Genomic DNA, 10,418 nt, shown 5'->3' on the forward strand with positions numbered 1-10,418 from the left:
AAAATGTATGATGTACCATAGGTTGCCAACCACTGCTGCAGGGCATGGGTTCCAGGGGTTCATCACCTTGGAAAAAAAATTGCACCTCTATTATCACTGACTTCTGATTGGAATTTAGCATTTCCTTCCACTATGAATGTAGGCCATAAACCACAGTAGCAACATCAGTAACTGTAATGCTGTCACCAGCAGAAATCACAGGTATGTTCATATAACATTAGAGTTGTTGCACACAACTCAAAATACTGATTATGCTCATCACTATATTTAAATTATGCTCACTCTTAGATCTTCTGCTGTATCTGGTTATTTAACCAGATTTTTTTTTTGAGGTAGGGTCTTACTCTGTCAACCAGGCTAGAGTGCAGTGGCGTGATCAAAGTTCACTGCAGCCTCGAACTCCTGGGCTCAGGCAATCCTCCCACCTGTGCCTCCATCACTATGCCCGGCTAATTTTTCTTTTTTTTTTTTTTTTTTTTTTTTTTTTTTTTTTTAGAGACAGAGTTTCACCATGTTGCCCAGGTCTCAAACTCCTGGGCTCAAGTGATCTGCCCAACTCAGCCTCCCAAAATTCTGGGATTATAGGCATGAACCACTGCGCCCAGCCTAAATGTGTTATTTTTTTTAAAAGCACATATATTACCATATTACAAAGTATATTTTTAATATTTGGGTAACTGTATCTCAATAACTGATTTCCATTGTAACCCTAGATATTTTATTTCTTATATAGGGTTTAAGAACAGTGTCCTGAGAAACAGTCTGGAGCTTTCACCAGATATCAAGAGTCCATGGTATATAAAAGGTTAAGAGTCCTTTCCTGCTCCAGGCTAACAGGGCCTGAGTAGCAAAACCACAGTATCTCTTACCAGAGTATTCACATCTTCAGTTTTATGGATGAGCATCCGGATCTCCTCTGGATCACCGCTGAAGATTGCCTGAACCAATGGTGGCTGCAAACACAAGAGAATGGGAATCAGAACTAAAATTAATACATCTGATCACATACAGATGCAGATGGTGAGAAGATTTGTTCCTTAAAAGTTTATTGAACCATTATCAGTTGGCAGACAAAGATGAATAAGACTCAGACCAACCCTTACAAGAAGTCCAGTGGGGGAGATATTTACATAAAGAAATAACTATTATACAATCTGAAAGCCAGGCCAGATAGTCTCTAACCTGAACTATGAACTACAGTGAATGTACCATGAACACCACCCATCACTGAAACTTTGATAGGCCCTTAAATCCCTGACAAGGAAACTACTAAATCTGTGGTTTTGTGCATACAATCCCTGTTATGAATTGAATTGTATCCCCACCAACATTGATATGTTGCAAGCCCTAACCCCCAAAGCGACTGTATTTGGAGACAGGGCCTTTAAGGAGATAATTCAGATTAAAAGAGGTCGTAAGGGTGTGGCCCTGATCCAATAGGACCGGTGTCTTCATAAGAAGAGGAAGAGACACCAGAGCTCACGTTCTCATTCTCTCTCTCTCTCTCTCTCTCTCTCTCTCTCTCCCTCTTCTTCTCCCTCTCTCTCTTTCTTCTCTCTCACACAGGAGGAAAGGCCATGTGAAGACACAGTGAAAACGTGGCCGTTGGTAAGCCAGGAAGAGAGGCCTCACCAGAAACTAACCCTGATTTTGGACTTCCAACCTCCAGAACTGGGAGAACAAAAATTTCTGTTGCTTAAGCCATCCAGTCTATAGTATTTTGTTATGGCAGCCTGAGCAAACTAAGACAGTTCCCTATGATTCCTCTACTTCTTGTTAGACAATGTTCCTTGTTATCCTCAAATAATTCCATTCCTAGAGGATGCTAATGGCCATGTTTCTGGCCACCGGAACACTTTTGTGTCGGTATTTGGAAAACCCTTGAAATCATTCCCAAATGCCTCCCATAGCTTTAGCCAACAAGTACTGTCTTAAACATGATTACATCTACTGCTTATTAAAAGTAAGTGGCACGATGGCAGTTTAGGGAAGAAGAGGGGGGTGTTACCAAGCTCTTATTATTGAACTCATCTACATTAAACAAGACCCCAGCATGCAGTAGAAGGATCTATATAGTGTGATGGAAACACAACCAAAAGAACAGCTAGCTCCACTTGGGTAGGAGGCTGGGTGAAGACAAGGGTGTATCCAAAAAAGCTTAAGGAAGGCACCTTAATGAATAAATATGATTTGCTGACAGGGAAGGAAGACAGAGGAGGTACAGGTGTGCAAAGGTGTGGATGTGCAAAGAACCTGATATGTTACTGACCAGAGTGTGGGGTAAAAGAGGAACAGTGGCAGGCTTTAGGGTTGATGTTGGGCTTGCCTGCATGGCAAAAAATGCTATTCAAAGCCAGTCTCACACTTGCTAGCCACATGCAAAGCCCATTTCTACATGCAACTTGGGGGTGAGCATGATCATCGCTGCCTAACCTCCTCATGGGATTGTTATTAGGATCAAATGAGGTAGTACATGAGAAAATGTCCTCTAACCAGACAACCCTACATAGATGTTTTCATTAAGAAATGTTTCACGATGACAAGATGGAGTAGTTGATAATTTTCTTTTAACCTTAAGATCCTTGGTAATTATGCACACACACACATTCACCCAAAATTCTAGAAATATCTTAGTCCTAGTAGTCGATTAGATGACAGCAGTTTCCCCAATGTGTCTGACCATAAGAATCACCGGAGATGCCTATTAAAAAAAATAGTCCCAGATCCCTTTCCTAAGGATATAATACATTCAGGGTGGGGACCTGCAAATCTAGATTTTAACAAGTACCTATCAATTCTTAGGAACTGGTGGCAAGCACTGGCCTCAGGTGAAATCACTAGTGTCACATACCTTGACCTCACCCTGTGATCTGCTGTTGGGAATGTGAGTTGTCATTTTCCCTATAAACCCTCTTTTCTCTTTTTATCCTCCTGTTGGCTTTCTTACAGGTTATGTTGCTGTTTATTGCTAGTTTGGGGGACCAATATAAGTACTATCAGTAAGACAGAGTAAGATTCCTTGAGGAAACACTATGTAAAAATGTCAAGGTGCAGAATGGATATTTCAATATGCCAGGAATTTGTCCATGGGTTTCTCCTCTGCCATAAAAATTCCCAGCAAATGAACATATATCTCTTTTTCTTTCTCGAAAACACCCTCTCAATTCTGCTTCTTGACAAGGTGTATGGATAGTTTCTGAAATTGCCAACAATTAAGTAGCAGGAAAGAAGTCTTGAAAAGAATACAAGTTTACTGCTAGTTCAGTCTTAGCTACTTACTCTGCTTAAAGACAGGCAGATCCTTCCACACTCCCCCTAACTACCTGCTAACCAAGTCTCCGTTCGGGTTACATCTGCCCCGTGGCAAGGACCACATTTCACACAAGACACAGAGCCAGACACAAATTCAGGGTTTCGACAAAAAAAAATATTGAATCTTGTTTATCTGCTCCATAATTCTCCATCTGCTGTGCTCATGGCCAAATGCTCATGTGTGCATTTCTGCCTTTTTGGACCTTAAAAGAAAACAAGCAACAAACCTCCACAACCAGAGAACGATAAGTAGAGGCAGTGTCTGACAAGATTTTCATGTTAAATCAGGAGTAGTCAATCAACAGCTGAACAGTTAAGATTCCGGGGAACAAACCCAACACAGTAGTTAATGCACCACTACTTAGTCACTTTAAGGGAACATAATGAGGTGAGCAGAGTCTCCCAGTTGCGAGTGTACGGAATACATACATTCTGTTGCATTCACTCCGTCCTCACACTTCTGAAGAAAGGCAAGCATTCCAAGCTATGGCTGGAATGTTACCAAGGAGAGGCATCCCAAAAAAGCTTCCAGAGAAGGGCGCCAGCACAGTCCTCAGCAGGGAGTGGTGCCTCTGGGACTAATGCTGCTAAAAGCTACTTTATAGAGAATTGTCAAGGCACAGAATCCCCAGGAGCCATTAGGAAGAAGAGGCTGAGCTATCATTATAACTCTTCCAATACTGAAGTCACATATATGCATACATATGCACCTAGGTACATATGCATACCTATCTACACTCAGGCATGCATGCATAGAGACACATGTTGAGTCATACACAAACCCCTTCTACTTCCCGTGGAATAAAAAAGCAGCTGTTCTCCACATCCCAAAGCCTTGCTATATGGACATCTCTAGCTCAACTGTGCCATGTGGCTACTGAGACATCGCCTTCACAATTATGAATTTAAGCATCATGGGATTTCAAACTAGAACTTCACAGATAACGTGCTTTGCTTCAACTGAAGCTGTGTGTTTGTATGGATATAATTACTGAATGGAATGCATAATGATTCTTGAGCAAGTAATATTTATTTTTTAAATATTATGACTGCTTCTTCTTTTTTTCTCTCCACACTCCCAAAAACATTCCCAGAGAGCACTTTGGCACTCCTTTTTGTTGGAATTTTAATGAGATCCTGCTGTTTTATTTTTCCCCAGGTAAACACTTAACCTAAGAAAAAATATTGGGGAAAAGATATATCTAAATACTATATTATATGATGTTTAAGGCAAAGAATATTCTAATTACAATATTCTTGCTCATAAGTATTAAGGACATATATTCTGTTGTTCATTAATTTGGCAACCATCATAACTTTTGCAGCTTTTGTCTTAACTTAAATAAGGCTTAGAAGCAAAGTCCTACCTGCACAAGAGCAGAGTCCCAAGCCTTGGCATATACAGATATTTCTTTTTAAAGTTTCACACATTTTAGCACTAGCATATATAACACGAGTGCTTTGTGTACAGTAGGGTACAGAGTTGAATAAATACAAAATTGTAACAAGGGTCAAAATTGAGAAAAACAAATAGTGGTAGGAAAAAAGGAGATTCAGATACCATGAAATCATTGATCATCATCCCCTAAAGAAATTTAAATTCCTAAGAGAGGTATGCAGTCTTTTTAGCTTCAATTGCTAGAATTTTCTTAGCATGCTTAGCAGCTGCAAAATGATTGTCAGTGCTGCAGATATTGGTGCAGTGCCTCTGGTAGATTCAGAAGACAGAAGGACACTTCCTGGGCCAAATTTACCAAAAGCACAAGTGGGATTTGTTGTTCAGATGGGACCTGTCCTTGCCTTCAAAATCACCAACAACTAGCCCCCTACTACCTTTCCAGGAGTGTTGACGGCTGCCTTCTAGAGGTGAATGTCTGCCAAGCTGATGACACTTGACCCCTCTAAGATAGAAATGGGGAACAGAAAGACCCCTTGATCTTATAAATTTTGTAGCTGAACTTGCTAACCCTTGGAACTGAAATCTAATCAGCCGAAAGCCACTTTCTCTACCCACATCCCCTATCGGCACATCCAATAAAATATTCTGTTTTTATTCTCACCCTGAAAACAAACTGGGAAAATACCAGACTTCCAAAAATAAAATGCTAAATCAAATATGTACTAGGGATAGTTATTCTCAAACTTTGAAGTAGAGTCAAAATTCCACTAGGGGGAGCAAGATGGTAATTTGTTACCTGGGAGGTAAAAGCAAAGGTTCAGGATGTGTAATTAAGGAAGTAAGGTAATTGAAAAATCCACTTCATTAAAAACATAAAAGAACTCAAGCTTCTGAAAGAGTTCTTAGTCATAAGTAAACATGCACACCATGCACATACTAAAACAAACAAACAAAAAAACACCAAACACAAAAAATTCCTATTGATCCCTGAGGATCCAGGTTTTAGAAATAAGAATAAAACTATCTAAAACCTACGTGCTAAGGTATCATTTTCATCATCTGTGAAATCCAATTCAATTATTATGTCAATTCCATGAAAAAAATATGCTACTGATGTCATCAGACACACCCTCCATTTAAGAATGAAGCCCATCATGGGTTCTACAAAGAGAGCCAAGCTAGTTTAGAGTATCCACTCCATCCGGCTATGAAGTCATCAATGCCCTCCCACATCCCGCAAAATCCCCTAATGAAACCACCATTTTGATTTTTGCTAAAACCACTGTATAGTATATTTCACTTTCCCTTTGCCAGAGTTGCATGCTCTGTACTAATGAATTGGCTTTGGAAGATAGGCAGAGTGACAGAGGCTGTCATTGAGCATTGGTAACTACAGTCAATGGTAATAAGCCCAAGCAGCATCCAGGGATGCTCCAGCATTTCATTCTAGATCCTGGTGTGTTGCTTGTGTTTTTCTGATTAGATCGGGAAAATAAAGACTCCAAGTCTAAAAGAAAAACATTTTGCATTCCAATCAGAAATGGGTGTTGGGAATCAATCAATAGCCAAGAAGGAAAATTTGATATTCCTAAACATCTGTCCCTCCTTGAGCATTCTGAGTACATATGTCATTAAAGTAAGATGGGAGTGTGTTATCAGTAGCTGATAGCTGATACAGCAATAATCTAGCCATATGAAGCCATCAACTTATATGAACAAGCTGAAACACTTCGTTAGGTAACAACTGTTTTTTGTAGGAGCCAGTGCTTGCACTTTTGTGAAAGGATAATAAAAATTTGTTCAAGTCACTAGATTTAATGAACAAAACCTGCTAACTGAATTCATGTGAGTTCTGCTGTATGATCTCCTGCAAGGATTTCATTGAGTTCTTCCTGAATATAGATCACCCTTTACTTGAGAAGTTCACTCCATCCCAGAAAGATAATGATTATCATAAAATCAAAATCTGTTCCTCTTAAGTACCATAAGGACAATACAAAAATATACTGAGTCCTTATAAATACATTTTTTAAAAAATCAGGGAGTGAGGCAGGACTGCATGTCTGAAAATGTCTCCTACAGGCTATGCTGCAGAGTAAATATATATAATATTTTCCATTACTATTAAAAACAGAAAAAACATAAAATTCCATGTTATAGTCATGCCCTCCAAGTAGCATATTTGTTAACTCTATATTTAACATTATGAAAAAAGAATTACATCTAATTAGAAAATGGAGAAAATTAATTTATTACCTAATCTTTTCCCAATGAAAATAACACATGGGTACTGACTATGAAATAGTTACTCAAGGACCAACTACCCCAATTACCCAATTTTTGGAACATTTAATCCTTTGTTGCTCCTTCCTTTCCTGAGATTCTCTTTGGGTGTTTCTCTGCTCTTTAATACCACTAGTTATCACCCTCACCCGATGGCCAACCCAAAGTAAAACAAAATTCAACTTTGTTACCAGTTACAGACAAAAAGTTGGGCCAAAGGAAGTGATGGAATAACAGTATCAGTTAAATTGAAATCTGGAGGCAATGTTAATTTTTATTGATTAAAATGTTAATTTTTATTGACCTCCTTTTTTTCCATAGTAGAAAGATTAATGCTATGGTATCAGACTGACCAATTATTAAATCCAATCCATTTCCGTTTCAGTTTTCTCATCTCTAAGATGGGGTTACAATAGCCATTTTATAGATGTGTTTAAAAAATAACGTAACGGCCAGGCGCGGTGGCTCACACCTGTAATCCCAGCACTTTGGGAGGCCGAGGAGGGTGGATCACGAGGTCAGGAGATCGAGACCATCCTGGCTAACACGGTGAAACCCCGTCTCTACTAAAAATACAAAAAAAACTTAGCCGGGCCTGGTGGCGGTCGCCCGTAGTCCCAGCTGCTCAGGAGGCTGAGGCAGGAGAATGGCGTGAACCCGGGAGGCAGAGCTTGCAGTGAGCCGAGATCGCGCCACTGCACTCCAGCCTGGGCAACAGAGAGGGACTCCATCTCAAAAAATAAATAAATACATAAATAAATAATAAAAAATAACACAACATATGCAACACCCCCAGCACGGGGCCAGATGCCTGGTGTGCACGCAATAAAAACAGGGATGATTGTTTACCTTAACAAGCTCAAAAACCTTCATAGACAAGTACCTTTATGTGCATCCTAAAAAAGGAAAAATAAGAGATCTTGAAAGATTTCCTAAAATACTACAGAGTAAATAAATTGAGTTAGGATTATAACCCACTCAACACCACCTCTAAAGCAGAGGGGCCCATCATATTGGGAGAGAAGCTTTTACAGGCCTGGGAGCAAAAATCAAACTGAGCATGACTTGGCCTTTGTTACACTCAGCAACCTCGAAATTGTCACACAGTCCCTCTGTACTCAGAAGTCTAATCTATAAAGCCAATAACTCACTGAACTAATACATCATTTCTTCTTGACTAATCAAAAGGTAACTGCATATATTCATGCCAGCTTAATGGGACCTGAGATTGTAATTTTACTACTTAAGGTTGTCATAAATACATGTAGTTACACCTTTCTTTTGTGATCTCCTGATAGACACAAAGGAAATGAATTCCCTGTTTGGAGCTGTGACGAAGTCTAATGATTTGCCTGTTAGTGACAAAGTTGAGACTAGAACTTAGTTTTCCTGATTCTCGCAGCTTGGTACTTTCTCTCACATGTAATATAATATATATATAATTCATGATCAGAATTCAGCTTCAGTTTCAACATACCTCCTATGGAGAAATATTATACACTAAGGAAAAAGCTGCCATATATGAGATACATTCTCTCTATACGTATGCATATATATTTACACAAATAGTGGCCAAATGCATATACATAGATAGATAGATAGATATAGATATAATTCCTTGCAACAAAATGGCTAACAATAAAATAATCTTACCAAAAGACAGAAAACAAAGGGCTACAGTCTTTCAAAGTTGAGGGGGCTCCGCATGGGTCTGAGTTATAAAGATGAAGAAGGTAGGCACTAAGCAGAATTTTGAAGGATGAGACTGGGGACTGGAGAGTAAATCTTTCATGTTGGAAAATAATAGAAGATGAAGTTAGAAAAATGAATAACTGGGTGGGGGGAGCATCACATCAGCATAAGAAGCTTTAACCTAATCTTTTTGGTGCAATCATATAGCTCATTACCACCTCAAACTCTTGGGCTCAAGCGATGCTCCCACCTCAGCCTCCCAAGTAATTCAGACTATGGGCACAGGCCACTGTTAAACCTGGTGAATTTTTAATATTTTTTTGTGGAGACAGGGTCTCGCTATGTTGCCCAGGCTGCTCTTGAACCCCTGGCCTCAAGCAATTCTTCTGCCTCAGCCTCCCAAAGAGCTGGGATTACAGTCATGAGCACTGTACCCAGCCTTTACCTAATCTTATGGACAAACAGGAATGGGGGTCATGAGCAGGAGAAAGGAATAGAGTTTTCCCAAGAATTTAATCTGGCCAAAGTGTACACTGAGTACTGGAGAAGGAGAGATTGGAGTTAGAGGCCCAGTTAGAAGGCTGTTGCTACAATCCAAGCCATCACAGGAAAGAACTTTCCCATCTTTTTTTTAATCACAGTCTCCCCAGGTGCTACTTACAGGGATACGGTGAAAACAACAGATATAGTTTTTGGTTCTTTAATGTCTGCTCTATTCCTGGATGCAATTTTGGCCCAGCATCTTGGCCACTTTCCTTCACTCTTTATATATAGCCCAAATCCCTTGCCTCCGAAACACTAATGTTTCCAGGTGAAACTGAGGTTACTTCCTTTAGTTCTGGAACATTTCCATTTTTTCCCCCACAGAACCTCTGCGGATGTAAGCTCTGTTTTGTCAGACTTGTCACTTGATCGCTGAATTTAAATCATAACATTTCAAAAATAGGCCACATCCATAAAGAGAAAGGCAAATCAAAACAAGGCAGACAGCCTTTGCCAAGTGCCATATTTCTATCAGGATCTGCTGCCAACTACCCACAGATTTTTTCACTCTGTCTAGTTTCAAATGGCTTGAGATCAAACCTAAACTTTAGCTAAGATAATTAAATTGTGTTGGGGAGTTAACTTTTAAAGAAAGCTAATTTGGGCAAAAAGGACAATGGATCCAGGAGGTTAGTTCATACAGAACATTTAAATCCATGTAATTTTAGTGAAACAAAAAGAACAACTATATATACTTCTGCAACAGTTTCCTGTTTTGAAAAATTGGTATAGAGGTTTTATTTCTCATCTTGGCTTGGGTTACATTCTTTGTATAACTGTATCTTACTGCATATTGAATTCATGTAGTTGCAAACATGAGAGGTGGATTTAATAATGTTAATCAATATAAACCACTTTAGTGATCTTTGTGGGGAAAAAAGAAAAATGGCCAGAAGATGATTTTCAGGGTTGTAGGTATATTCAGTATAATTTATTTGTCTGTTCAAATAGAGACAGCAGTTCAGTTTTAGGGTGCACTGGAAAACATGACTTTTTATTACTACCTGGTATGTGCATCACTTATAAAAAAGACAACAATAAAAAAGTATTCCTTATAAAAAATAGCAGAAAATGATCCATAACTACAGAAGTATCTTCTTGTGGTCATGAGTAATTTTAATTTTTGAGAATCTCACAAATTGGAAGCTAAATAAAGCAATTCAAGTGTCCTTTAAAAACAACAACAAAA

At 39.1% G+C, this 10,418-nt stretch overlaps 1 protein-coding gene across 20 annotated transcripts in view, besides 1 other annotated feature; it reads right to left on the minus strand.

Moving 5' to 3' along the window:
• ANKRD44 (ankyrin repeat domain 44) overlaps nucleotides 1-10,418 on the minus strand; it is a 343,767-nt gene that overhangs the window by 219,140 nt on the left and 114,209 nt on the right. For all 20 annotated transcript variants that reach the window (NR_160034.1, XR_923062.3, XM_047446287.1 and 17 more), the window contains one exon: nucleotides 870-953. Coding sequence is in view for 18 of the 20 variants with exons in the window: in XM_047446287.1 (XP_047302243.1) it covers nucleotides 870-953 (84 nt within the window). In the remaining 2 variants the exon portion in view is untranslated. The remainder of the gene's footprint in view (nucleotides 1-869; nucleotides 954-10,418) is intronic.
• Nucleotides 387-1,586: an enhancer, noted in NCBI's record as "CDK7 strongly-dependent group 2 enhancer chr2:198051264-198052463 (GRCh37/hg19 assembly coordinates)". NCBI's record gives its function as "activates an origin of replication core promoter dependent on BRD2, BRD4, P300/CBP, MED14 and CDK7 cofactors, with strong dependence on CDK7, by STARR-seq in HCT116 cells {active_cell/tissue: HCT116}" and the evidence as "EXISTENCE:reporter gene assay evidence [ECO:0000049][PMID:35650434]".

Source organism: Homo sapiens, chromosome 2 (assembly GCF_000001405.40).
Source record: "Homo sapiens chromosome 2, GRCh38.p14 Primary Assembly".
Lineage (NCBI taxonomy): Eukaryota > Metazoa > Chordata > Mammalia > Primates > Hominidae > Homo > Homo sapiens.